We start from the raw sequence: 27,195 nt of genomic DNA, 5'->3' as shown, positions 1-27,195 counted from the left end.
CTCAGGTGATCCACCCGCCTTGGCCTCCCAAAGTGCTGGGATTACAAGTATGAGCCACAGTGCCTGGCCTTAAAATATCTTTTGCTTCTTGACTTTAGACGTGTATTTTCTGCATATTTTCATAACCTTTTTACACTAAAATTACTACTTGTTTATACTGCATGTCAATTGTTAAGCTAATTGTTACATTGTTGAAAACATTCACTGATATATTTTATATTGATACTTTCCTCATTCTGGGGTTCCATTGTCTTTTTTCAATCAGATGTTTTAAGTGTTGAAAAAAATCCTGGCCTTTATGGGTGAGGAAGGAATGTTTATTTCAGTAGATGTCAGCTCAGAATCAAATTACCAATGCGCAAAGCCTAGGCACACACATTCCTAAAGTATTTGGTTTCAATCGTGGGATAAATATAGCTTGAACCTAACCTTCCTTCCCCTTCCCCTTCCCTCCCCTTCTTTCCTTCCTTCTTTTTTTTTTTTTGAGAAGAAGACCTAAGAATCATGAGTTTGTATGCACCTAACATCATAACCTCAAAGATATAAAGAAAAAATGGGCACATTACAAATAAAAATTGACAAAGTAACCCCTATAATCATAGTGGGAGATGTAACAACTCTATAACAATTTTTTTGTTTGTTTGTTTTGTTTTTTAGACAGACTCTCGCCCTGTTGCCCAGGCTGGAGTGCAGTGGTGCGATCTCGGCTCACTGCAAGCTCCACCTCCTGGGTTCACCCCGTTCTCCTGCCTCAGCCTCCTGAGTAGTTGGGACTACAGGCGCCCGCCACCACGCCCGGCTAATTTTTTGTATTTTTAGTAGAGACGGGGTTTCACCATGTTAGCCAGGATGGTCTCCATCTCCTGACCTTGTGATCCGCCCACCTCAGCCTCCCAAAGTGCTGGGATTACAGGCATGAGCCACCGCGCCCAGCGAACAAATTTTAATACTTTTTTATTATTTATAAAATAATATGAGCCACTGCACCTGGCCCCAGCTTGGTTTTGATGAGAATTGGCCTGGAATATCTTTTCAGAATTCCCTTCCATGTTATGATGACTGGCCTTAAGAGAAGTTTGTGCAAGATCAGAAGGTTTAAGTGAAGCATCAGCCATGCAGCTCTGGGGTCAGCGTGGGGAGTGGGGATGAGTCCCCATCGTAGCTCACTGTGCTGCCCGCTTTGGGCAGTAGCCAGGCCCTCGGCTCCCTCAGCTCCCACCATGTCTCCTCCATTGGCTGCTCAGAGTCTGAGCCAGGCGTGTGCAGAGTTGAGGTAGCAGGCAGCAGCTTATTCTGTTTGATATTGAGGCTGTAGGCAGTGAGAGACAGATGTGGCTCCATCTTCTCACACTCCCTGCTTCACACATAATTTTTTCCTATTAGCGCTCCTTGCTACAACCAGCTTCAGCCAACGTAGGTGCAGAAGTCAACTGGAGGCAGCTCCCTGGGCTTGCTCCCATAGTCACGGAAAATCCAATCCCTATACTTACTTTATTAATTTAATTTTATTTATTTTGGAGACAGGGCCTCACTCCATTATCCAGGCTGGATTTCAGTGTTGCCATCACGGCTCACTGCAGCCTCTATCTCCGAGGCTCAACTGATCCTCCTGCCTCCGCCTCCCAAATTGCTGGGATTACAGGCGTGAGCCACTGAGCCTGGCCTAATTCTTTTTTTTTTTTTTGAAACAGTGTCTTGCTCTGTCACCCAGGCTGGAGTGCAGTGGCACAATCACTGCAACCTCTACCTCCTGGGTTCAAGCGATTCTCCTGCCTCTGTCTCCCGAGTAGCTGGGATTACAGGCATGTGCCACCATGCCAGCTAATTTCTGTATTTTTAGTAGCGACGGGGTTTCACTATGTTGGCCAGGCTGATCTTGAACTCCTGATCTCAAGGGATCCACCCACCTCAGCCTCCCAAAGTGCTGTGATTACAGGCGTGAGCCACTGTGCCCTGCTGTAATTATGTTACATCGCTCCTTGAGGGTTCTGCTTCCTCGATCACACAAATGAATTTTACCCTAACAGATATATACAGATATATCTTACGTTGATGTCATTTTAAATCACTGGGGAATGAAAAGATGATTGATTCAATAAACATTGCTGAAAAAATTACTTAACATATTTGGAAAATAGTATATCTTTATATTGTTCATAAAAATGTTTTTAAAACCTCAAACTATAAACATATTGGGAAAAGTAGAATATGCTTGCAACCCTGGAATACAGAAACAAAATGCAAACATCATAAGGATCGAAACGTAAATATATCAAAATTATAAGTTATTTAGAGGCGGTTTTTCAGGTTTGACCTACAGATTGTTAAAATAAAAATTATTGGTAGCCAGACTCAGTGGTATGAGCCTGTGTTCCCAGCTACTCGGGAGGCTGAGGCAAGAGGATGGCTTGATCCCTGGAGTTCAAGGGTGTGGTGCACTATGGTCACGTCTGTGAATAACCACTGCACTTCAGCATGGATAATATAATGATACCCTGCCTCAAAAAAAACCTGAGGGATTCACTGTGAGTCAAGGCATCCAGCTATATGCTAAAGTTGAGCAAATTTTACAAAATGCTGAGAGAGAAAAGAGATAAAAGGATAGACAGACAGACATGCTTGAATGGAGCTTTGGGGATAAAGGACATTGTGGGCCAGATATACAGCCACCAACCTTCGGCCACGCTGCGGAATCAGGATTCATTCTTGGCTAGATTGCAGAGACAGGGCAGGAGACACAGCTGAAGAGCTGGTTCGCTGGAGACAAGAGAGCTCAAGCCTGGAGAACAGTAAAGAACCTCCCCTGCCAGGCGCAGTGGCTGACACCTGTAATCCCAGCACTTTGGGAGGCCGAGGAGGGCGGATCACGAGGTCAGGAGATCGAGACCATCCTGGCTAACACAGTGAAACCCTGTCTCTACTAAAAATACAAAAAATTAGCTGGGCGTGGTAGCATGTGCCTGTAGTCCCAACTACTCAGGAGGCTGAGGTAAGAGAAGTGCTTGAACCCAGGAGGCTGAGATCGCACCACTGCACTCCAGCCTGGGTGACAGAGCGAGACCCCGTCTCAAAAATGCTCAGTCTGCAGTGAGAAACTCTAACCCTCTCCAGCTTCATCTCCCATCAGTCTCCTGCGGTTTTTCCTTTCCAGGCTTTGCCTAGGCAGTTTTCACATGCTGTCATCTCCTGTCTTCCCTTTTTTGACAGCGTCCCTCTGACTGTAAGCCCTACGAGTTCTGGGTTGGCTCACTGCTTCCTTGCCTCCTTCAGGCAGAGTGAGTTGCTCTCCAGGACTTCAACCTGCCTTCTCCCCCAGTGTGTACATCACAGTCACAGTGATTGTCTGTTTACTATCTCCTGCCTCAGAAGACTGAGCTCCTGGAGCCAAGGATCGCGGCTTAAGCTCACCCCTGCAGCCCCATCTCTCTCTACACAGGCCTAACACACGGTCAGTGTGGAACAAAGTCTTGGTCTCCCTGCTGCTGGTTGTTCCTCTCCTCAACCTGTTCCACAAACAGATGGCTGATTCTCATCCTAAAGCAAAGTTGATTTTATCACCCCCAACTCAAAATCCTTCCCTGGCTGACTTTCGCTTTTGAAACGCTTTCAATTGTTAGCATTCAGGCCTTGCACGTGGTGCACCAAGGGCTGTTAGGATAATTGGAGAGAAAAGGTTGAGGTAAGAGTCCCGGTGAGGGTCAAGGTTAGGCAAACTGATAAGTAAATTGAGAGCCCAGCGAAGCACATAATTTCCTCTCTCCTGCTCTTCCTCAAACACTCATGGAGCACCATGTGTCAGTTTCTGCGCTGAATCTTAATAAAGCAGAAAATGATTATGTTCCTATGCTGACCCCAAAAAGACACGGACCTTGTTCTGTCTCTCCACGTTGGCTATTGTCTGACTCCAGTGGTATGCTGCTGAATGTTTAACAACTGACTTTCTGGGAAGAAAAAAAAAAAGCCCTGATTTCTACAGTTTACCAATTTCTATGGTGTAAATATTCCCACCATAGCCGATTTCAAGTCTCCAATATGATGTCATTGAACATAGAGTTGGAAAGAAACGTGCAATAGCACACTATTATATAGTATTCCCACCATACAGATAAGATGGATGTAAATCACTCCAAGAACACAGATAGTAGTAAAACAGCAAAACAATTAACCAGTGATACATTTTGAGTGTTTTCTTTCTTCATTTGTTTATTTATTATTTTTTGGACAGTAAGTCGTTCTGTCTCCCAGGCTGGAGTGCAGTGGCATGATCTCAGATCACTGCAACCTCCACCTCCAGGTTCAAGCGATTCTCCTGCCTCAGCCTCCCAAGTAGCTGGGATTACAGGTGCGCGCCACCACGCCCAGCTAATTTTTGTACTTTTAGTGGAGATGGGGTTTCACCATGTTGCCCAGGTTGGTCTTGAACTCCTGACCTCAGGTGATCCACCCGCCTCGGCCTCCCAAAGTGCTGGGATTGCAGGCGTGAGCCACCGCGCAGGCGTCTACCTTTGTTTTTAATATAATGTATTTAATTGTAGGCTCATAAAATTTATTTTTTAACAATGACGTCAAAAAATGTATTTAACATCCAGCTTGCAAAACGTCTGAAAACTTAACCATGCGCTCATGCGCACTGTCTTCAAATGCGGTTTTTGACGGTGCCCATTTTACTTCGTCATGTTTGGGGCTTTTAGTGGTCGGGACACGCAAAGCCAGGAAGAGAAACGAGGCCAACGGGAGGAGCAAAGCCGGGCTCCAGTCCCTCACGCGGCCACCGGGGGGCGACAGACACAGGCCAATGAGCAGCTGGGGATCTGAGGCCCCCGGGCTCGGCCGCTGGGTCTCTTCTCCGCCCACAAGGAGGACTGAGACGCTTTTCCTGATATTTTGGGCGTGGCCCGTCACCGGCACCGTGGCAGGGGTCTGGGGCGCTGAGGGGCCGCTCCCCACCCGGACTTAGGTCCCTGGTATTGAAAACCAGCGCTGTCCATCCGCAGTGCCCCAAGTGTCCCCGGACACCAAGCTGGCTCACTCTGGCGGCCGCCATAACCCCTGCCCGGCAGCCTCTGCGGCCGGAAGTTGGCTCGGCCGGTGTTCGGGGCATCCCTCGGGCAGTTAACCGCACTTCCGCTGGCTGGGTATCCGCGGCAAGTTCAGATCATTAGTTGGCTGGAGTTAATTAACCACCAGACAATTAGCTTATCTTTTTCCCGATCCTAAGACCAGCTGGATTGGTGAGGAGGAACTAGAGACAACAGCTTCCTTCTGAGTCACCTTGAGGCAGCAGCCACTGGGGAAATGCAGGGAAGGACACTACCCAGGCTTCCTGGAGGGGTTGGCCCCAGGGCATGCCCTGCTTGGGCGGAAAAGCTTGGAGTTTAGATGAGGAAGCCTGAATTCTCCTCTAGACCTCCTGCCAACTCTTTGCCTGACCTTGGGCAAAACATTTAACTCTCTTCTGGGCCTTGGTTTCTTTAGCAAACACTGACGCCTGCTTCTCCGGCTCGCCCCCGCGCCCCACTCCCCCCACCGCTTTTTAAATGTTTATTATTTTTTTAATCATGGTTTTATTAGGTTGGTGCAAAAGTAACTGCGGTTTTTATCATTACTTTCAATGGCATAATAGAATGGGACTCTATTTGCTGCCAGATTGGGAATTCTAAGGGTATAAATATGTATTAATAAATATTATGACCTTTAAAATTTTAAAACAAATGCAAAACCTGCAGCATTTTTCGGGAATTGATTCTCTGTACATAAAAATGAGATTAGTCAATCCTTTTGGTGTCTGTTTAGCATACAATGAGTACATCCAGATAGTTAAGACCCTTGGAATCAAGATTAAGAGAACCATCAATTAAGGAGGTATGGTTGGTTAATTCTATACTTATTTTGAAAATAAGTTAGTTGGCCGGGCGCGGTGGCTCACGCCTGTAATCCCAGCACTTTGGGAGGCCAAGGTGGGTGGATCATGAGGTCAGGAGATCGAGACCATCCTGGCTAACACAGTGAAACCCCGTCTTTACTAAAAATACAAAAAATTAGCCGGGCGTGGTGGCGGGCGCTGTAGTCCCAGCTACTCAGGAGGCTGAGGCAGGAGAATGGCGTGAACCTGGGAGGCGGAGCCTGCAGTGAGCGGAGATCGCGCCACTGCACTCCAACCTGGGCGACAGAGCGAGACACTGTCTCAGAAAAATAATAATAATAATAATAAGTATAGTTAATTCTATACTTACTTTGGAAAACACCAGCTATTCAGCACGAATAGCAAAGACACCATGACTACGTTCTACTACTGTGGGACTGTAGTAGAACACTGACGCCTGCTTCTCCGGTACCCCCCCCGCCCCCCCTCCCCCGCCTTTTTAATGTTTTATTATTATTATTTTTTGAGAGTCTCACTCTGACGCCCAGGCTGGAGTGCAGTGGGGCGATCTCAGCTCACTGCTTTCCCCTTTCTTGTTGGCAGGCAGTGCGCACCTCTCCAGGGAAATTTACTCCAGTGCTTCATCCTACCTCATTGGACACAGCCGACCGTGTTGGTCCTGGTTCCCTCTTCAAATGCTGGCTCCTGGAAATAGCATCAAAGCAAGCAGCTGATAAGACAAAACTGGGTTGTTGCTTATGCTAAGGGGAAGCACCACCTTGAAAGAGTCATTGTAGAGTGGAGGTCGGGAGGGCAAAGTTGAGATACTGAGGTTTTGGGGTTTGGTTTAAGGCAGGTCCTTTGATGTCGGACTTAATCAGGGCTGGGTAAGGATCATGTTATAATAGTTTAGGATTGTTGGTCACAGTTTTGTATTGGTGGTCACAGTGAAGTGAGGGCTTCAAAGACTCTTGGAGCTTTCTTTGATGCTCCCTGTTGAAGAGCTGTGTGGTTTTATTAATGGATTTTCCTGAACTCAAGGAGTAAGGTTATTTGCAACTTTTGTGTTTCTGGGCAAGCATTTCCTGGAATAATAAAGTCACAATAATAGAGTCATGTTATTTTGCTTCAGCAATTGTGAGTCGGAGTACTCTGCTATTTGTATCCAGAGGCACCCTGTTATGGTTTCCTTGTGTGTAAAATGGGGATTATACTGCAGAGAGAAGGGGAGGAGCTGGGCATGCTTTGAGAAGACCAAAGTTTCAACGTATTGTAGGCTTTTGGTATTACAGCAATGTAGGGCTTACAAAAATGTCTGAGTCCTGGAAAATTATCCTTACTCTGAAATAGGAAATGGAGTTGCCAAGTTGAATTACATAGTTGTTTGTTAAATGTCTCCTAGACATAATTATGTCCACTGGTCCAGTGCAACTCAGAGCACACGGTTGTGGGTCCATTGCATTTATTCTGCAGAGGGAGGTGCATGCTCATGTGTTCGAAGCCATGTGATGGGGGCTTCAAAGCTGAGAATGCTCCAGGCTTATCAAGGTCTTAAAATGGCCCTGTGACTGGCCTTTCTACTTCCTTTCTGCTTGAGTCCTGGCCTTTCTACTTCCTAGCCATGTGAATTGGGATCAACTCCTCCCTCTCTGAGCCAATTTCCTCATGTGTACAGTGGGGAAGACAATGCTTGGGGCAGAATAAGAAGGGTGAAGCGAGGTGGTGTGTTGAGTATAGTAGCAAACAGTTTTTGGAACTGAGGCCCAGATGATCCCGGGGTGGCTTCAGCCCTGCAAACTGTGGATCTGGTACAATGTACCCTGAGAGAGACCATGGACCTATAGATAGCAAGTCTGTAAAGGCTCACAGTTAATCAGGTTAGGAGAAAGCAAGAGAAATGAGGATCCCAGCCCAGGGAGCCTGGGACTTATTCAGGTCAGTTTCTGCACTGACCCACATATTTAACAACCAGCTCTTTACAGGCATGAGACAATCAGAACAGTCTTGCTGGAGATGCTGGAGGCCCTGTGTGAAAACAGGCATTCACTCTTTAAGTGTTAGATTTTGAGGATAGTGGAGGGCCTGGAGCAGCTGGGCAGTAAGGGGCACCTGGGGACTTGGGGAAATGGCTGTTTATCAACCTACAGTTGACATTCAGTTTGGCTCTACCAGAGCTGAAAATCTGCCTTGCTTAGGGGAGCATGGGAGTACCAGGTGTGGGAGCAAGTGGACGTTGGTAGTACAGCCCTGGGCAGGGCAGGCATGGATGGGGGCCAGATTCTGATCAGTGAAGCACCCCTGGGCACTCCCTTGAACCTCAAGCCTGAGGTCAACCAGTGGGGCCTTGGCTCCCTGGGGCTCCTGGATGTTTGAGCAATGCCCCCCTCAGAGAACTTTCCTAAGTTTTCAGTTTCTCCCCTCTTTTGTGCTTTGGAAAATCCTTCCTCCTTCCTGTGTCTAGGTGTCTAGGTGAGGTATTTCCTGTCTTCTCTGTCCTCAAGCCACTGTTCTCCTCTTTTACAGCAGACCTTGACACCAAATCATTAAAAACCAAAAAACTAGTTCTCTTTTCTTCAAGGGCAAGAAAGACTGAGTTTCCAAGTCCTACCAGGATATTTGCGGAAATTTTTGGATCCTATTTTTCTATGGTAAAGATAGGGAAGAAAAACAAATCACATACAAGTTTTATCTCTTTTATTTAGTTTTTTTAGACGGGGTCTCACTCTGTGGCCCAGGCTGGAGTGCAGTGGCACGATCATAGCTCACTGCAACCGTGGACTCCTGGGCTCAAGCAATCCTCTTGCCTCAATCTCCCAAGTGGCTGGAACTACAGGTGTGCACCACTACACCAAGCTGATTTTTAAAAATTTTTATGTAGAGACAGGGTCTTGCTATGTTGCCCAGGCTGGTCTTAAACTCCTGGCCTCAAGCGATCCTCCTGTCTTGGCTTCCCAAAGTGTTGAGATTATGGGCGTGAGCTATTATGCCTAGGCACTACATAACTTTTCAAGAGTGTAGTTTGATAATATATGTCATCAAAAACTGTAAATACATTTAAAACCTTTATCCTAGCAATTTCCCTTCTAGGAATGTAGCTTGAGGAAATAACCAGAGATTCTTTCAAAGATTGATGAACAAGGTTACTTACTGACACATTACATACAACAGAAAAAAGAATGAATGTCCAGTATCAGAGGGCATGGGATTGAGTAAATTATGGTATATTGTTGTCTTAGTCTGTTTTGTGTTGCTCAGGTACAGAATACCTGAGACTGGGTAATTTATAATAAACAGAAATTCATTGGCACATGGTTCTGGAGACTGGGAAGTCCAAGATTGAGGGGCTGCATCTGATGAGGGCCTTCTTGCTGCCTCATAACATGGCGGGAGGCATCACGTGGCAAGAGAGCATATACATAAGAGAGTAAGGGGGTGGAACTCATACATTTTATCAGGAACCCACCCCATGATAACCAACCCACTCCCAAAATAATGGCATTAATCCATACAGGAGGGCATAAGCTTTATGACCTAATCACCTCGGAAAGGTCCCGCCTCTCAACATTCTTGCTTTGGGGATTAAGTTTCCAACACATGAACTTTGGGGACACATCCAAACCGTAACAATTCTATAGTGGAATATTATATAGACATTAATAATCATGTTATGAATGGTTTACTGATATGAGAAGATGCCATATTGAATTTTAAAAGCAGATTAAGATAATGTCACAGTATGATTCCAATAATATCCAAAAAAAAGAATATAATTTGTAGCTTGTTTTATTAAGTAAAAATTTATAAATGGTGTTTCACTTAATTCATCAATTGATTCAACAATATTGGGAGGCCACTAACTGACAGGCACTGAAGATATAATACTAAGCTGTTAAAAGTGTAATGTTCGGCCAGGCGCGGTGGCTCACGCCTGTAATCCCAGCACTTTGGGAGGCTGAGGCCAGTGGATCACCTGAGGTCAGGAGTTTGAGACCAGCCTGGCCAACATGGTGAAACCCCGTCTGTACTAAAAATACAAAAATTAGCTAGGCATGGTGGCACATGACTGTAGTCTCAGCTACTTGAGAGGCGAAAGCCCAAGAATTGCTTGAACCCAGGAGGTCGAGGTTGCAATGAACTGAGATCACGCCGCTGCACCCCAGCCTGGGTGACAGAGTGAGATTGTCTCAGAAAAAAAAAAAAAAGGGCAGGCGCGGTGGCTCACGCCTGTAATCCCAGCACTTTGGGAGGCCGAGGTGGGAGGATCACGAGGTCAGGAGATCGAGACCATCCTGGCTAACACGGTGAAACCCCATCTCCACTAAAAATACAAAAAATTAGCCGGGCATGGTGGTGGGCGCCTGTAGTCCCAGCTACTCGGGAGACTGAGGCAGGAGAATGGGGTGAACCTGGGAGGCGGAGCTTGCAGTGAGCCGAGATCGTGCCACTGCACTCCAGCCTGGGCAACACAGCGGGACTCGGTCTCAAAAACAAACAAACAACCAAAAAAATTAGAGGGTACAAGCACATTTTTGTTACCTGGATATACTGTGTGGTGGTGAAGTCTGGGCTTTTAGTGCCTATCACCCAAATCGTGAACACTGGATCCAATAGCAAATTTCTTCTCCTTTGCCCCCTCCCTCCCTCCCACCCTCCCAGTCTCCAATGTCTGTTATTCCACTCTGTGGCCACAGGTGCACATTGCTTTGCTCCCACTTATTTTATTTTATTTTTTTTGAGATGGAGTCTCGCTCTGTCGCCCAGGCTGGAGTGCAGTGGCACGATCTCAGCTCACTGCAAGCTCCGCCTACCAGGTTCACGCCATTCTTTTGCCTCAGCCTCCAAAGTAGCTGGGACTACAGGCGCCCGCCACCACACCCGGCTAATTTTTTGTATTTTTAGTAGAGACAGGGTTTCACCATGTTAGCCAGGATGGTCTCTAGCTCCTCCTGACCTCGTGATCTGCCCGCCTTGGCCTCCCAAAGTGCTGGGATTACAGGCGTGAGCCACTGCGTCCGGCTGCTTTGCTCCCACTTATACATGAGAACATGCTTAAGAGGCTAAGGCAGGTAGATCACCTGAGGTCAGGAGTTCGAGACGAGCCTGACCAATATGGTGAAACCCCGTCTCTACTAAAAATATAAAAAATAGCTGGGCATGGTGGTGTGCACATGTAATTGCAGCTACTCAGGAGGCAGAGGCAGGAGAATCACTTGAACCCGGGAGGCAGAGGTTGCAGTGAGCCCAGATTGCGCCACTGCACTCCAGCCTGGGCAACAGAGCAAGACTCTGCCTCAAAAAAAAAAAAAAAAAAAAAAAAAGGCTGGGCACACTGGCTCATGCCTGTAATCCCAGCCTTTTGGGAGGCCAAGTCTGGCAGATCATGAGGTAAAAAGATTGAGACCATCCTGACAAACATGCTGAAACCCTGCCTCTACTAAAAATACAAAAATTAGCTGGGTGTGGTGGCACGTGCCTGTAGTTCCAGCTATGTGGGAGGCTGAGGCAGGAGAATTGCTTGGGAGGCTGAGGCAGGAGAATTGCTTGAACTCGGGAGGTGGAGGCTGCAGTGAGCCAAGATTGCACCGCTGCACTCCAGCCTGGTGACACAGTGAGACTCCATCTCAGTAAATAAATAAATAAGAACATGCAATCTTTGTCTTTCTGTGTTTGACTTGTTCCGCTTAAGATAATGGCCTCCAGTTCCATCCACATTGCTGCAAAAGACATGGTTTTGTGTTCTTTTTTATGGCTTCGTAGTATCCCACTGTGTATATATTCACCACATTTTCTTTATCCATCATCTGTTGATGGACACTTAGGTTGATTTCATGGCTTTGCTGTTGTGAACAGTGTTGCTGCGATGAACACACGAGTGCAGGTGTCTCTTTGATTAAATGACTTCTTTTCCTTTGGGTGGATGCCCAGTGGTGGGATTGCTGGTTGAATGGTAGTTCTAGTTTTAGTTCTTTGAGAAATCTCTATCCTGTTTTCCATAGAGCTAAATGATGTACTTATTGTTTACAATTCTCTGTTTCATCCGATGTCCATGGCTTTTGGTTTGCTCATTGCTGTATCTTCAGCACTTCGGACAGCGCCGGCATACAGGCGGTGCTCTGCAAATGCTTGTTGATTGAGTTAACAAGGACAAGGAGAGTGTCTTATTTCCCTTGACTACTCCAGCACATGGTGGGTGGGCTCCATAGCCTTTGGTGGGACAATGAATGGATAGCCCTGTTCAAAGTAGCTCCCCAGACTCCTGGGCCCACATCTGAGATGCCACCATTGGCGAGTCACTTCTTTTGCCAGTGGCAGCTGCTGTTAACATGGAAATGCCCCAGTGGCCCTGTCAGTCATCACCACTCCAGTGCACATGGATCAGAGGCCCTGAGGCCAGGCTGGCAGGGAGTGGGGGTGTGGGTGGCAGGGGCACACAGCTCATCCAGAGCTTGCACAGGCAGGGATGCTGGCCAGCATGTGGGTCTAGCATTGGCAGGCGCTCAATAAATATTTTGTTGAGTGAATGTTGAATCATGCCAGGGTCTCCACCCCGTGGCCTTTCAGAGACTCCACCCTCTATACCCTGGGAATTGAGGAACTGCTGTCTGGGGCCCTTCCCCAGGACTTGTGCCAGGAAATCTTCACCCAGCTCCTCAGGGCTTCCCCCTGCTCCTACCAGGTCCTTCTCCTCGGGGCTCTCTTCCTGGCCACCCTGTCTCAGGGATAGCGGCATCTTGGGCAGGGCCCATGGCTACCCTTGGGTATCCAGGGCAGTGAGCTGGCTCTTCAGAAAGGCAGAAAAGCTGGAATGGAGAGGAAACCTGGGCGGGAGGCAGAGAGGGAGGCTGGAGTGGTCGGTCCCCAGCCACTTGCAGACTTGCTTCTTCCACACTCATTTATACATTCAACAAACACTCGCTGAGCCCCAGGGTGCAGCAGGCACTGAATATGATCCTGGGGGTCCACAGGGAGCCCCCCTGCCCACACTGTTTCCCCAGCACCCAGCTTCACAGTGGCCCTCTAGGGTCCAAGCCACCGCCTGGTCCCATGGTTCTGTGCCCACCTCCCGGACACCTCCCTGTCATCCGTCATCTGCCTCCCACCCCTAGGAGGTCATGTGCTTCCTGAGCACAGGACCTGCGTCTTATTCATCACATGTGTCCTGGTGCCCACCAGGGCCTGACATACAGCAGGTACTCAATATATGTTTGCTGGGTGAGCTGGAGAGGCCACCCACCTTATTCCAGAAGGCAGTGGGGTGGGGCGCAGGAGGGCCCTGGACGCCCTGGGTGCAGAGCTGAGCGGGGGACAGTGAGTAGGGTTGGGGGAGCCCAGCAGAAATTTCTGCTGCAGTGCTGCTGCTGCTCAGAGACACTGCCCCTCCTTGGCCACTCTGCGTGGCCTTTTCCTGCAGTTCCCCCAAACCCCCTCTGAGTCCTGGGACAGAGAATAATGCATCCTCTGGGGCTCCCCAGGGCCCTGCTGTTTGACTTGTCTCTCGGTGGAGCAGGGCATGGCCTCTCTGCCACGAGAAAGTGCCAGTCGTCCTGCTGCCACCCTAACCCTTAACAGACTGAGGAGGTGGGCAGCACAGAGTCCACCCCCAGGGCAAAACCCGTCCTGCTCAGAGCCATGGAGTCCCTGAAGCAGCCATGGTGGTCTGCTAAGCCCCTGACCCACGCCACCCTGACTCTGCAGGGAGCAAGTTAGGGCTCACCCCAGGCAGGGTGAGGCACCTCCTCCAGGCTCCCGAAGCCTCCATGAGGGCAGTCCCAGCAGCCACCCCCAGTGTTGGGGTGCAGGTCCGGCTCCACCACTCACCCAGCAATCTCGGGCAAGTCACTTAACCGCCCTAAGCTGCCTCAGTTTCCTTATCTGCAGAGTGGGAATAATAAAGACATTTGAGGATTAGGAGGCAATGCATGGCACTCCTAAATGTTTGCTCTATTATATAAATACTATATTTATATTTGTATAAATATATTTATTACATACATATTCACTACTATGGTTTTTTTTTTTTTTTTTTGAAACAGAGTCTCGCTCTGTCGCCCAGGCTGGAGTGCAGTGGCGTGATCTCAGCTCACTGCAACCTCCGCCTCCCAGGTTCAAGCGATTCTCCTGCCTCAGCCTCCCAAGTAGATGGGACTAAGGGCGCCTGCCACCATGCCTGGCTAATTTTTTTTTTTTTGTATTTTTAGTAGAGACGGGGTTTTACTATGTTGGCCAGACTGGTATTGAACTCCTGACCTCATGATCTGTCCGTCTTGGCCTCCCAAAGTGCTGGGATTACAGGAATAAGCCACCCCACCCAGACACTATGGTTGTTTTTAATTCACCCCCGGCGGTAGCAAGGGCCCTGCTGGAGGCTTGTTGATCGAATGAGTGAAGGGGCGCAGGCTCCTGCCTCTTTGTAGAGGAGGAAGCCTGCCCTGCTTGGGTGGGAGTGTCCCAAGTGTGGGGCGCTGCAGGGCACTGAGTCAGGGAAGGTCTCACAGGATTCAGCCCCGGGTTGCCACTGTGGCAGCCGCTGGGGGGAAGCACCGAGAATCCACTCCCAGCCCAGGACCCGGCCCCCCACAGCCCAGCCCAGCAGCTCTTTGAATCCTGGGAGTCCCAGCCCTTCCCGGGGCCCCTCTTCTCTCAACCCCCCTGCTTGGCCGAGCCCTGGTGCCCATGGGCTCCTCCCCTTCCCAGGAGTCCAGGTGAGGTGAGTTGTCAGGTGTCTGAACCGCAGGGCAGAGCCCCGCCTCCAGGAACGACAGGAGGGCGGCCACCAGGAGGCCACCAAGGTCGCCACTCACCTGATTCACAGCTTTCGGGAAGTGGGTTAACGGGATTCCCAAGCCCGGGTTGCGCCAGGTCTCTGGGCTGAGTCACAGGGGCCTGGGGCCCTGCAGGTGGGAGCCGTTACTGAGCTTTGGGCACCCCCTTGATCCCTAAGGCCCTAGGACCACCCCCAACACCCAGTACCCCAGACTTCAGCCTCTCCAAACCCAGGCCCTCCCCAGCCCGGAACCCCTTCCTTTCAGTGCCCTGGCACCTTTCTCTGCCCCTGGACAATTAATGTCAGGGACCTCTGGGCCCAAGCCCCCTCCCCTGCCCTTCCAGAGGCCACATCCTGGGGTCTCAGCTAGAGCCCCCCCAGAGCCCTGTAGCGGCTGGCTTCCTCCCCGCAGCCCCGCCCTCTGCCCAGGACCCACAGCCGGGGTGGCCGCGGGAGCCACCTGGGGACTGGTCTGACGGCATTCCGCCTCCCAGGATAAAACCTGGGGCGACCTGCAGGGAACCTACACACCCTGACCCGCATCGCCCTGGGTCTCTCGAGCCTGCTGCCTGCTCCCCCGCCCCACCAGCCATGGTGGTTTCTGGAGCGCCCCCAGCCCTGGGTGGGGGCTGTCTCGGCACCTTCACCTCCCTGCTGCTGCTGGCGTCGACAGGTACGTCCGGAGGCTGCTCCTCCCTCCTCCCTCTCACCTCCACCCTCCTTCCCTCCTTCCCTCCCTCCCTCTCTCCCTCCTGGCCTTGCCTCTCTCATCTCCTTTCCGCTTCTGCTCTGTTTATCTCTTGCTCCTTAACTGCTCTGTGCCTCGGTTTCTTCTACGGCTGTGAGGATGAAACAGAAAACGCAGCAAGTACGCAGCGCGCCTCGGTCTCCAGTTACCGTCGGCGTCGCCATCGCCTGCTCCCTCTCGCCTCCGTGTTCTCCCATCTCCTCGTCCTCCGCTGCTTGCCTCTGGGGAAGCACCGTTTTGTGTTGTTCCTGCCGCAGGAGGTCAGGGGAGGGCACACCAGCGGCAGCAGCGTCCAGAGCCGAGGGGCTCAGGTCTGTGCCTCCCTCGAGGAGCCGGTCCTGGTCCCCGGAAGGCAGGCTGGACGGGAAGCTGCGGGAGGGCAGGGTCACAGCTGTGCAGCCAGGGCCTGGCCAGGCCCCAGGAAATGCCCCGCCGGTAGGGGCCCTGGGGTTGAGAGACTTGAGAGTCTCCCTGGGCACTGGAGGGCTAGAGGTTCCTCACCACCAGGTACTCAAGGGGACCCCCTCCTCACTGGGCGCTGGGACGCCTGCTCACTGGGCGCTGGGACCCCTCCTCACTGGGCGCTGGGACCCCCTCCTCACTGAGCGCTGGGACCCCCTCGTCACTGGGCGCTGGGGACCCCTCCTCACTGGGCGCTGGGGAGCCCTCCTCACTGGGCGCTGGGGACCCCTCCTCACTGGGCGCTGGGGAACCCTCCTCACTAGGCGCTGGGGAGCCCTCCTCACTGGGCGCTGGGGACCCCTCCTCACTGGGTGCTGGGACCCCTTCCCACTGGGCACTGGACCCCTTCTCACTGGGTGCTGGGGGCTTCTCGCTGGGCGCTGAGGGACCCTCCTCACTGGGTACTGGGACCCCTCCTCACTGGGCGCTGAGGGACCCTCCTCAGGGGGTGCTGGGACCCCTCCTCACTGGGCGCTGAGGGACCCTCCTCACTGGGTGCTGGGACCTCCACCTCACTGGGCACTGGGATCCCTTCTTACTGGGTGTTGGGGGCCTTCCTCACTGGGCGTTGAGGGCCCCTCACCACTGTGTCCTGGGGCCCCTCACCGGCCTAACCGTTTCCTTCTCTTGCCCTCAGCCATCCTCAATGCGGCCAGGATACCTGGTGAGTGGAGCTGGCAGCTCTGACGGGAGGGAGAAGGGAGGAGGCCCACGCGCAGGCAGTGTCTATGTGTCCGTCCCCTGGGCACAGGTCAGAAAGGGGCTGGGGTGAGAGGGGGAAAGAGCTAGAGGGGAAGGGAGGCAGGAAGGAGACACGGATGCAAGGAGAAAGGCTTGAGAGATGCCAGGGCCAGAGGAGAGAGAGAGCCAGGAAGGTGAACAGAGTGGAAAGCAGGGTAAGGAAAGAGGGGGAGGGAGAGACCAGGTGCAGCTGACAAGGAGTGAGTGGAAAGGCCAGGGCCAGGTGAGGACCAGCAGAGAGTGAGGATGGAGGGAGGGATGGGACGGGGAGGTGGGCGGAGCTTGGGGTATGGGTGGAGCTTAGGATGTGGGTGGAGCTTGGGGTGTGGGTGGAGCTTGGAGTGCAAGTGAAACTTGGGATGTGGGTAGAGCTTGGGGACATGAACGGAGCTTGGGCTGTGGGCAAAGCTTGGGGTGCAGGCCTAGGGATTGGGATTCCGGGGGTGGGTTGTAGGAAGTTGGAGATAACAAAACTTGACCGTACCCTCCAGTTCCCCCAGCCTGTGGGAAGCCCCAGCAGCTGAACCGGGTTGTGGGCGGCGAGGACAGCACTGACAGCGAGTGGCCCTGGATCGTGAGCATCCAGAAGAATGGGACCCACCACTGCGCAGGTTCTCTGCTCACCAGCCGCTGGGTGATCACTGCTGCCCACTGTTTCAAGGAGTATGTACAGCCGGCCTGGGGCACTTGATCTTCTAAGGCCCTGGGCTTTGTGCCCCAGGCCCTGGGCTCCCTTTACAGGCTCTGCTTCCGGGCCTCTGTTCAATCTTGGTGCCCCTCGATTCTACCTAGAAGCCTCTCCTGCCTTCAGGGGCCTTCACACCCATGCTGTTCCCCCAGGTACCTCCTCCCAGACCAGGCCTGGCTGATCCTCCCCTTCCCTTTCCTTCCAGCAACCTGAACAAACCATACCTGTTCTCTGTGCTGCTGGGGGCCTGGCAGCTGGGGAACCCTGGCTCTCGGTCCCAGAAGGTGGGTGTTGCCTGGGTGGAGCCCCACCCTGTGTATTCCTGGAAGGAAGGTGCCTGTGCAGACATTGCCCTGGTGCGTCTCGAGCGCTCCATACAGTTCTCAGAGCGGGTCCTGCCCATCTGCCTACCTGATGCCTCTATCCACCTCCCTCCAAACACCCACTGCTGGATCTCAGGCTGGGGGAGCATCCAAGATGGAGGTGCGGCTTCTTCCTCTCCAAGGTGGTTGGGGGCAGATGGGGACAGAGGATGGCAGACACTCAGGGACACAGACACCATGAGCAACAAAGGGTGGAGGCCAGAGGCACAGCATGACAGAGGTGGAAGGAAAGATGGGCTGCAATCCAGAAGAAACCTTGGTGGGCAATTTCAGGCCATTTCTCTTTTCTTTTCTTTCTTCTTCTTCTTTTTTTTTTTTTTTTTTTTGAGACAGGGTGTTACTCTGTCACCCAGGCTGGAGTGCAGTGGTGTGATCCTAACTCACTGCAGCCTTTGCCTCCCAGGCTCAAGTGATCCTCCCACCTCAGCCTCCCAGGTAGCTGGAACTACAGGTGTGTGCTACCACACCTGGCTAATTTTTGTATTTTTTGTAGAGACAGGGTTTTTCTGTGTTGGCTGGGCTGGTCTTGAACTGTTGGGCTCAAGCAATCCACCAGCCTCAGCCTCCCAAAGTGCCGGGATTACAGGTGTGAGCCACTGTGCCTGGCCTCATTTCTACTTCAAAAGTATCTGGCTATGTTTTGAGGCAACAGCCAGACCCGTGAAGCTATTCAATTCATCAATACAGGAATGGCTGAAAGGGGGTGTGTGTGGGACTAAGCTGAATACAGGGTGAATATAAAGAGGCCTGATTCCAGAGTGGGAACAGGCACCCCCTGGTGGTAGCATGCCACAATTGCGGGCAAAATTCTCGGGAGAAAATGCAGCCACCTTAATTGTAAAATATAATTTTCAAACCACCACTGGAGGTTTGGAAAACATCATCTCAAAACTCAAACTAGATTACATAAAGCAAGAAGCAGGGAAGCAGCAAGAGAAAGGTAGATGACAGATCGACAGGCAGATGGATGATAGAGACTGGGCCAAGGAAAAGAAACATACAGGCAGAAATGAGGATACAATGAAGACCTGGAAGAAAGAGTTTGAAAGAGAGAGCTAGAGACTAAGTAATAACAAAGTGTAAGACAGATGAAAATTTAACCAGATTCCAGAATAATTAAGAGAAATGACACTAGCTCAGGTGTGTGGGGATCCCAGTAACTCTGAGGTTGCAACCTCTCCATGATCTCTGTAGGGGCTTCTTCAAGAGCTAGAATCGCGGACTTTCAGTCCACAATCTGCAGACCACAGTCTGTAGACCAGCTCCAGGCAAGGCGTGGGGATCCCTCAGGTCCTGGTAATTTTCAACATCGAGTGGACATTTATTGAACACTTCTTCTATAGCAGTCCCAGTGCTGGATGAAGTAATGCAGTATCTGAGACAGGAAGGGCTCTAACCATCTGTGGATATAAGAAAATTTATTAAAGAGGTAGGGTCTTAGGTTTCACATTCATGTTCTAATTCAGCAGGGCCAGAGGTGGAGACCTGGAATTTCAATTTTCTGAAGGCATCTTGGGAGAGACTGGTAGAGCTAATCTGTTAGCCTTTGAGAACCGCTGCTGAGAGGAATGGTGTTGGGGGGGAATAGTCCTTTGAGGAGGCAACGAGGAGGGGAGACCCCCAAACCTGATTCTGTCCTCTTTCCTCCCAGTTCCCTTGCCCCACCCTCAGACCCTGCAGAAGCTGAAGGTTCCTATCATCGACTCGGAAGTCTGCAGCCATCTGTACTGGCGGGGAGCAGGACAGGGACCCATCACTGAGGACATGCTGTGTGCCGGCTACTTGGAGGGGGAGCGGGATGCTTGTCTGGTGAGCTCCCTCGAGCCCCCCACCCCTGGCCAGGAGGGCCTCGGGAAGGAGCCAGCGTCAGTCCTGTCCCCACTGAGCCCCACAACCTCTCCCTGGCCTCCTCCCCAGAACTGGCTGTGCCTGACAGTCCCGGGTCCCCATAGAACCAGCCTCAGCCTGGCTCAGCCACTCACTTATTTGTTCAGACATTAAACTGGGCATCCCAGCTGCACCACCTCGCCCTCCGCGAGCTTTCATTTCCTTCAGGGGGCTTCCCACGCCTCAGTGCCCAGAGCCAGCTGTAGCTCAGGGGCTGTCTGGAAGACGGTCAGATGGTGCAGCGGCAGCACCCGCGCCTGGACGTCTTAAGGCCTGGCTGCAGCTCCTACTCTGCCGCCGGGGACTTCTCACCTGGGTGGAGCTCAGGTCCTGTCTCCTCCAGGAAGGAGAAACGGGCTCCCGGGAAGGGGCTCATCTGCCCCCTGACAGGGCACGGGCCCTGGATTCTGCCACCCCCTGTGCCACGGGGGTTCCTAACCTCGCCTCCTCTCTGCAGGGCGACTCCGGGGGCCCCCTCATGTGCCAGGTGGACGGCGCCTGGCTGCTGGCCGGCATCATCAGCTGGGGCGAGGGCTGTGCCGAGCGCAACAGGCCCGGGGTCTACATCAGCCTCTCTGCGCACCGCTCCTGGGTGGAGAAGATCGTGCAAGGGGTGCAGCTCCGCGGGCGCGCTCAGGGGGGTGGGGCCCTCAGGGCACCGAGCCAGGGCTCTGGGGCCGCCGCGCGCTCCTAGGGCGCAGCGGGACGCGGGGCTCGGATCTGAAAGGCGGCCAGATCCACATCTGGATCTGGATCTGCGGCGGCCTCGGGCGGTTTCCCCCGCCGTAAATAGGCTCATCTACCTCTACCTCTGGGGGCCCGGACGGCTGCTGCGGAAAGGAAACCCCCTCCCCGACCCGCCCGACGGCCTCAGGCCCCGCCTCCAAGGCATCAGGCCCCGCCCAACGGCCTCATGTCCCCGCCCCCACGACTTCCGGCCCCGCCCCGGGCCCCAGCGCTTTTGTGTATATAAATGTTAATGATTTTTATAGGTATTTGTAACCCTGCCCACATATCTTATTTATTCCTCCAATTTCAATAAATTATTTATTCTCCAGTGTCTGTTTTTTCCCATGCCTGGGGACACTGGAAAGCAAGGGTCCAGAGGGGGTTAAGGTTGGGGGTTGGATGTTGGCCTAGCCAGAGACTGCGTGGTCCTGTCCACCTGGGGCTGACGCCGACCCCTGCTTCCACCTAGGGTTCAGCCTTCTGACCCCTGACCTTTGCAGCCCTGGGCCACCCTCCCTTTTATCCCTCTCCCACCAGGGCAGGGCAGCCGATGGAGAAGGGGCAGAGTCTAGAGGCCTGGAAGACCCAGCTCTGGTGCTTCAGGAAGGGGAGGAGAGGGGTTGGGACTCCGAAACTGTGCGTTGGATTCCAAAACAGGGCTGGTGAGGAGAAACCCAGCCCCATGAGAGTGAGGTGCTACCTCTCTACCCCAGGCCAAGCCCCCCCTTCTGCTCTCTCCACCACAGGCCTCAGGGGCCTCAGGATGGCAGAGCTGCGGGTGGTGGTGGAGGGAGGCGCCCAGGTGAGCCCCATCAGAGCCCCGTCTCCGTGGGCTGGCTGTTGGGTCCTCATCCCCAGGAGCCGATTTGTCGAGCGACTCACTGCCAAAGCTCTAAACTCCCCAGTTTGGAAGAAGCAGCGGACAGTGGCAGGGCAGGCCTCTGGCTCTGCGGGCATCAGGGGTTGAGTCACCCCACCTGTCCCCATGGGGGGTGGCAGTTTGATCCCAAGCCGAGAGGAGGGGTCTGTCTGGCTTCCTGCCTGCTTAGGGATGCAGGCTAATACTCTGTTTCCCCACATCCACTCATCTGCAGCCGGCTCTGGCCTCCTGGACCCAGGGCCCTCATCCCAGCCTGCCTGGATGCAGGCCTTCCCCAGCATCCCTGTAACAAATAGGTATGTGGTTAGAGGGCTGTGCCGCTGGCTTTGGTGAGAATATGACCCTCTTAGTAGCCGATACAGAAGAGATTCACCCAAAGCCAGGTCAAGAAAACAACCAGGTCCAATTGTGCTGAAGAAGAGACACTATGACTCTGCCATGAAATATCTCCAACCAGAAATGATCAAGGGCATGGCCAAGTTTGGAGAAGGCAATACAGGTTTAGTTTTTTGGGTTTTTTTTTTTTTGGTGTCCTTTGTTGTAAGTGCAGTTCTAAAATATTTGTTCATACTGTTTTGATTGCCTTATTTATTTATTTACTTTTTTCAAGGTAGGGCTTGCTTTGTTGCCCAGGCTGGAGTGCAGTGGTGTGACCCTGGCTCACTGCAGCCTCTACCTCCCAGTCTCAAGTGATCCTCCCACCTCAGCCTCCCGAGTAGCTGGACTGCAGACGTGTGCCACCATGCCTGGCTAATTTTTAAATTTTTTACAGACGGGGTTTCACCATGTTGCCCAAGCTGGTCTCCAACTCCTGGCCTCAAGCAATCCACCTGCCTTGGCCTCCCAAAGTGCTGAGCTTACAGGTGTGAGTCACTGGCCCAGCCTGATCACTTTTATATGATTATCAGATCACAGTAAATGCTATGGGGTTGTTTTTTTTGTTTTTGTTTTTGTTTTGTTTTTTTTTTGAGATGGAGTCTCGCTCTGTCACCCAGGCTGGAGTGCAGTGGCGCGATCTCGGCTCACTGCAACCTCCATCTCCTGGGTTCAAGCGATTCTCCTGCTTCAGCCTCCCGAGTAGCTGGGACTACAGGTGCCCGCCACCACTCCCGGCTAATTTCTTTTTGTATTTTTAGTAGAGATGGGCTTTCAGTGTGTTAGACAGGATGGTCTCAATCTCCTGACCTCGTGATCCACCCGCCTCAGCCTCTCAAAGTGCTGGGATTACAGGCGTGAGCCACCGCACCTGGCCTAGGGTTGTTTTTATTAAAACAACCAACCAACCAACCAGAACTGCCCTGCTGTTTGTCAGAGTGACCAGCCCAGGGAGTGCTGGGGTGACTCAGGTGTGCCAGGTAGCAGAGCCAACCGCCACGGCCTCTCCCTTTGTGACCTGGTCCCCTCTTGATGTCACCCTATGCTCTGGCTTCTCTTATCTCCTCTGTGGGCTTTAGCCCCTCCCCTCTCCAGCCCTCCTTTGCTGGCCTCTCTCCCTCACTCGGTTTCCCCCTCTGCCCCTGCTCCTCGACTGCCCCCTTCTGTCTCTGAGTGCCCCCTCCCTCATTTCTCTACCTCCCTCCCCTGCTCCTGTCCTGGAGTCTCTCCCTTCAGTGTCTCCTTCTGCCCTGTCAGCTCTGCCCCACTGCTCTGTGCCGCCAGGCCAGCCCTCTCCTGCCCCTCGTCTTCCTCTTTTTCCTCTCCTCTCCCTGCTCCTGTCCTGTTTCTCCTCCTTGTCAACTCTCGTTCTCCGACCCTCAGTTTTGTGGGTGCCTGTCCCTTTACCCCATCCCTCCACAGGCCCTGGTGCATGTGCATCTACTCCCTCTAATAGGGTCCTGACAGAAGCCCCTGAGAATGTAGCGCCTAGAGGGGGGCGGAGAAACCACCCTGTAAGTGGCAGGATTCACCAGGGAGGGTGGGGATTTCTCTGAGTTGGGAGGTCGCCTCCAGGCAGCCTTGAGCTTAAGGGAGCCTCTCGTGCCTTCCCTAGTGGCTCCACAGGATCCTAGGGCCCTGAGGACAGGCTAGGGGTGGAGCGGGAAGTCAGCCCTGCCTCTGCAGGGCAACAGGACTTCCAACGATGCCCTCCCCAAACCGGGGGGGGGTTCCAGGAGGTGGGTACAGAGTCTCCCCAGCCTCTGTGGGGCTCAGGCAGCACGTGCATCTCCAACATCTCGGCGACCCTTCCCTCGGGGGTCCTGCTGGCTCATAGCGTGTGCACCCTACTCAGAGTCGGGCCAGCCCATGTCCCCAAACTTTGCTGAACATGCTGAGACTATGGCTGACAGAACAGCCCTCTTCTCCCTGGTTGGAGCCTGGACCAGGAACAAGTCCCACATGTGAACCATGTTGGGTGGGGGGACCTCGCTACCTCTGCCCCACCAGCATCACCTGTCTCTAGGGGCTGCAGAGACCCGTAGGCCTGGCTGTCTCCTCGAGGGAATCCCACATGTTCCAGTTGTACTGGTCCCACATGGCCGGCTACACGCCCATCCTAGACTCCTGGGCAGACGGCTCTGCCTCCTTTTTCACCTCTCCCATGGAACAGCCCTTTGCAGAGCTCTCTCTGTCTCCCTAACAGCACTGGTGAGGACCATCTGACCTCCGCGACAAATGTCATTACATCAGGAACTGCCTTAGATGCAGGCTGTGAGGTCTGCCTACTCCTTCCTCAAATCGTGAGCCCTTGAGGGGACTTCCTTCTATGCCCGGGACCTCCTAACTCTTCTCCACTTTGCATCCGAAGCAAGCATTTAAAAGCACATACTTAAATACATGACTTCCCTCCGTGGCAGGCTCCTTTGGTTGCTGAGCCAGCCCCTATTTCAACTCTTCTCTTTGCTTCCTCCACCTGGAAGAGCTAAATGCTCATTGTCTCCTGCATGGTCAAGTGTGCCTATGGGACTAAGTGTTGACCCATGAGATGGGTGGTTTCTTAGGAAGACTGTTTTTCCCTGATTAAAGGGACATATTCAGCTGTCGTCATCCTTTCTCTCCTTCCTCCTTCTTCTAGTCCTGAATGCACACGCAATGCCCAGACTTCAGCAGCCATTTACGACACGCTAATGACAGTGAACCACGATTCAACAGCTATGGGTGTGATGGCGAGGTCAAGACGCTGCCCTAGCACTACACAGCCTGCCTCCTTCCAGGCTTCTTGTTGTTTTTTGTTTGTTTGTTTGTTTTTGAGATGGAGTTTCATTCTTGTTGCCCAGGCTGGAGTGCAATGGTGTGATCTCAGCTCACTACAACATCCACCTCCTGGGTTCAAGCGATTCTTCTGCCTCAGCCTCCCAAGTAGCTGGGATTACAGGCACATGCCACCATGTCCGGCTAATTTTTGTATTTTTAGTAGAGACGGGGTTTCATCATATTGGTCAGGCTGGTCTTAAACTCCTGATCTCAGGTGATCCACCTGCCTCGCCCTCCCAAAGTGCTGGGATTGCAGGCGTGAGCCACCACGCCGGCCTTTGTTTTGTTTTTTGAGGTGGAGTTTTGCTCTTGTTGCCCAGGCTGGAGTGCAATGGTGAGATCTCGGCTCACTGCAACCTCTGCCTCCTGGGTTCAAGCAATTCTCCTGCCTCAGCCTCCTGAGTAGCTGGGATTACAGGCATGTGCCACCATGCCCATCAAAAATAATTTTTTTGTGTGTATTTTTAGTAGAGATGGGGTTTCCCCATGTTGACCAGGCTGGTCTTGAACTCCTGACCTCAGGTGATCCACCCACCTCAGCCTCCCAAAGTGCTAGGAGTATAGGCGTGAGCCACTGCACCCAGTCCCAGGCTTCTTGTTTGCTTTAAACCGTGATTGGTTGGATTTTCTTTTACTTGCAGCTAAATGCATTCCTAACTGGTACATCTACTCCAAACCTTCTATTTTATAATAGTTTTAGACTTGCAGAAAACTTTTTATTTTTTTACAGAAAACTCTTTGTTTTCATGGACACAGGATGTCAGATTTCATCAGCACAATTGAATCCCATAGAAATTACCCAAATTATGAAGGCCTTGAGCTCCCAACTAGCCACAAGAATTTTGGACCCTCAAAGGGTCCCCCAGTTAGTTTCAGGTTTCCCCACCTTTTTATTGTTGTTGTTAGAGACAGGGTCTTCGTCTGTGGCCCAGGCTGGAGTCCAGTGGTGTGATCATGGCTCACTGCAGCCTGGCAAAATAGTAGGCGTTAGTAAATGTTTCATGAGTTAATGGTAATAAGTATCATCTATTTCATCAGTTTGGTGGACAGTGTGGATATCTCTCTTTTTTTTTTTTCTTTTCTTGAGGCAGAGACTCACTCTGTTACCCAGGCTGGAGTGCAGTGGTGGCATCTCAGCCTACTGCAACCTCTGCCTCCCAGGTTCAAGCGATTCTCCTGCCTCAGCCTCCCAAGTAGTTGGGATTACAAGCACCTGCCACCACACCTGGCTAATTTTTATATTTTTAATAGAGATGGGGTTTTGCCATGTTGGCCAGGGTGGTCTCAAACTCGTGACCTCAAGTGACCCGCCCACCTCGGCCTCCCAAAGTGCTGGGATTACAGGCATAAGCCATGGTGCCCGGCCCTCTTGTTTTTCTAACTAATTACTCAAGCACCACATTCTCTTTTTAGCAGAGATCCTTTCTTTCTTGAGACCATCCCACTAAATCCATGGAGTATCCAAGAATTCTACAGGTTTACGTGGGTCAAAGGGTCCAGTCCTATGAAAACTGGAAAATTCCATTATTCCTTCAATTCAGTTATGTTGCTTTGCTCAACATCAAGTGGTGGTGCCGATAGATACCGGTCTCCCTAGTCCTACAGACCCTCCCCTTGTTCGGCGGGGAAGCCTTTGCTCAACTGGCCCCCTGCCCTGATGACTTACATATGGGATCTGAGGTCAAAGGTCTTCAAGGTCATAGTCACAGGCCCAGCCATCATTTCACAGAGCACAGTGCCTGTGTGATCAGGGCTTCTGGCCTCAGCCACAAGCTGCACATGAACAGATGCTTGGGCTGAGCCTGCGTATGTGAGCCCACAGCTTGTACCACTTGCTGCATGATAGCCAATAAGTTGAGAAACAAGGTGTTGGGGTAAGGAAGGCAAGTTTCTTTCAGAAACTCAGCAAACCGAGAAGATGGTGACTAATGTCCCAAAGAACCACCTTAAGTTAATAGAATTTCAGGCTCCTTTTATGTTAGGGGAAGGAGGAGGGTTGAAATAAGAGGTGACTCACAATCACAGACATCTGGGCAGCGGTATGAGGTGGGCCTTGTGAAACTTCTTTGTCCTTGGTCAGGTCACAAGGCTCCTATAAATCTTTAGCATAACATTCTTACTTGTGTGTACACACTCCTTATTTCCTCAGGGATAAGTTTGGAGAAGGGATTATCATGCTTGCTTTAAACTATAAACTAAATTCCTCCCACAGTTAGTTCAGCCTACACACAGAGATAAGCAAAAGCAGTTAACCTAAAAAGATATCACCTGGTGGGAGGGTGGTTAGGGGTGTGAACCCAAAAGTATCTGAGACAGATTTCAATCAATTTAGAAAGTTTATTGTGCCATGGTTAAGGGTTTACCTGTGATGCAACCTCAGGAGGTCCTGATGACATGTACTCAGGGTGGTTGGGGTACAGCCTGCTTTTATACATTTTAGGGAGACATAATACATCTCCTAATACCTGAGCCCTTGAAGGGACTTTCTCCTATGCCTGGGACCTCCTAACTCTTGAGACATGTAAGATTGACACTGGCTCAACCTGGAAGGGTAGGACAACTGGAAGGGGGGGGGTCTTCCATGTCATAGGTAGATTTAAACATTTTCTGATTGGCAATTGGCTGAAAGAGTTATTACCAATAGAAAGAAATGTCTGGGGCTGGGCATGTTGGCTCACGCCTGTAATCCCATCACTTTGAGGGGCCGAGGCAGGTGGATCACCTGAGGTCAGTTCAAGACCAGCCTGGGCAACATGGTGAAACCCCATCTCTACTAAAAATACAAAAGTTAGCTGGGCGTGGTGGCAGGTGCCTGTGGTCCCAGCTACTCGGGAGGCTGAGGCAGGAGAATTGCTTGA

At 51.8% G+C, this 27,195-nt stretch overlaps 1 protein-coding gene and 1 long non-coding RNA gene across 3 annotated transcripts, besides 7 other annotated features; both read left to right on the top strand.

Moving 5' to 3' along the window:
* Positions 4,836 to 4,905: an enhancer, noted in NCBI's record as "active region_10286". NCBI's record gives its function as "activates an Ori minimal core promoter by ATAC-STARR-seq in GM12878 lymphoblastoid cells {active_cell/tissue: GM12878}" and the evidence as "EXISTENCE:reporter gene assay evidence [ECO:0000049][PMID:35858748]".
* Positions 4,916 to 5,095: an enhancer, noted in NCBI's record as "active region_10285". NCBI's record gives its function as "activates an Ori minimal core promoter by ATAC-STARR-seq in GM12878 lymphoblastoid cells {active_cell/tissue: GM12878}" and the evidence as "EXISTENCE:reporter gene assay evidence [ECO:0000049][PMID:35858748]".
* On the top strand, positions 5,119 to 6,975 carry LOC101929566 (uncharacterized). Its single transcript, NR_188573.1, has 3 exons — positions 5,119 to 5,231; positions 5,794 to 5,862; positions 6,467 to 6,975. It is a non-coding gene; the product is annotated as an uncharacterized LOC101929566 (long non-coding RNA).
* Positions 5,196 to 5,315: an enhancer, noted in NCBI's record as "active region_10284". NCBI's record gives its function as "activates an Ori minimal core promoter by ATAC-STARR-seq in GM12878 lymphoblastoid cells {active_cell/tissue: GM12878}" and the evidence as "EXISTENCE:reporter gene assay evidence [ECO:0000049][PMID:35858748]".
* Positions 13,967 to 14,566: an enhancer, noted in NCBI's record as "H3K4me1 hESC enhancer chr16:2908758-2909357 (GRCh37/hg19 assembly coordinates)". NCBI's record gives its function as "activates a minimal SCP1, AML or CMV promoter by ChIP-STARR-seq in primed H9 embryonic stem cells {active_cell/tissue: H9 hESC(primed)}" and the evidence as "EXISTENCE:reporter gene assay evidence [ECO:0000049][PMID:30033119]".
* Positions 14,567 to 15,167: an enhancer, noted in NCBI's record as "H3K4me1 hESC enhancer chr16:2908157-2908757 (GRCh37/hg19 assembly coordinates)". NCBI's record gives its function as "activates a minimal SCP1, AML or CMV promoter by ChIP-STARR-seq in primed H9 embryonic stem cells {active_cell/tissue: H9 hESC(primed)}" and the evidence as "EXISTENCE:reporter gene assay evidence [ECO:0000049][PMID:30033119]".
* PRSS22 (serine protease 22) lies at positions 15,153 to 20,593 on the top strand. Of its 2 annotated transcripts, NM_022119.4 has the most exons (6): positions 15,153 to 15,300; positions 16,475 to 16,501; positions 17,070 to 17,241; positions 17,472 to 17,749; positions 19,301 to 19,458; positions 19,994 to 20,593. In NM_022119.4, exons 1-6 carry the CDS (start codon positions 15,219 to 15,221, stop codon positions 20,228 to 20,230), a joined length of 954 nt encoding a protein of 317 aa, NP_071402.1. In that variant the 5' UTR covers positions 15,153 to 15,218; the 3' UTR covers positions 20,231 to 20,593. The 2 variants fall into 2 exon arrangements, with proteins under 2 accessions (NP_071402.1, XP_047290407.1); XM_047434451.1 differs by lacking the exons at positions 15,153 to 15,300; positions 16,475 to 16,501 and adding an exon at positions 16,502 to 16,588 and having other exon boundaries at positions 17,070 to 17,749.
* Positions 15,168 to 15,768: an enhancer, noted in NCBI's record as "H3K27ac-H3K4me1 hESC enhancer chr16:2907556-2908156 (GRCh37/hg19 assembly coordinates)". NCBI's record gives its function as "activates a minimal SCP1, AML or CMV promoter by ChIP-STARR-seq in primed H9 embryonic stem cells {active_cell/tissue: H9 hESC(primed)}" and the evidence as "EXISTENCE:reporter gene assay evidence [ECO:0000049][PMID:30033119]".
* Positions 20,598 to 21,097: an enhancer, noted in NCBI's record as "H3K4me1 hESC enhancer chr16:2902227-2902726 (GRCh37/hg19 assembly coordinates)". NCBI's record gives its function as "activates a minimal SCP1, AML or CMV promoter by ChIP-STARR-seq in naive H9 embryonic stem cells {active_cell/tissue: H9 hESC(naive)}" and the evidence as "EXISTENCE:reporter gene assay evidence [ECO:0000049][PMID:30033119]".

The sequence above is a fragment of the Homo sapiens genome, chromosome 16, assembly GCF_000001405.40.
Source record: "Homo sapiens chromosome 16, GRCh38.p14 Primary Assembly".
NCBI classification, from domain to species: domain Eukaryota; kingdom Metazoa; phylum Chordata; class Mammalia; order Primates; family Hominidae; genus Homo; species Homo sapiens.
Note: the sequence above shows the minus strand (reverse complement) of the source record. Positions and strands in the feature narration are given on the sequence as shown.

What these genes read in the sequence shown, in the direction of transcription:
- PRSS22 (NM_022119.4), top strand. Translation starts at nt 15,219, where the DNA reads ATGGTGGTTTCTGGAGCGCCCCCAGCCCTGGGTGGGGGCTGTCTCGGC. An exon ending in GCTGCTGCTGGCGTCGACAG is followed by an intron (nt 15,301 to 16,474) that starts GTACGTCCGGAG and finishes TCTTGCCCTCAG; the next exon opens with CCATCCTCAATGCGGCCAGG. An exon ending in CAATGCGGCCAGGATACCTG is followed by an intron (nt 16,502 to 17,069) that starts GTGAGTGGAGCT and finishes CGTACCCTCCAG; the next exon opens with TTCCCCCAGCCTGTGGGAAG.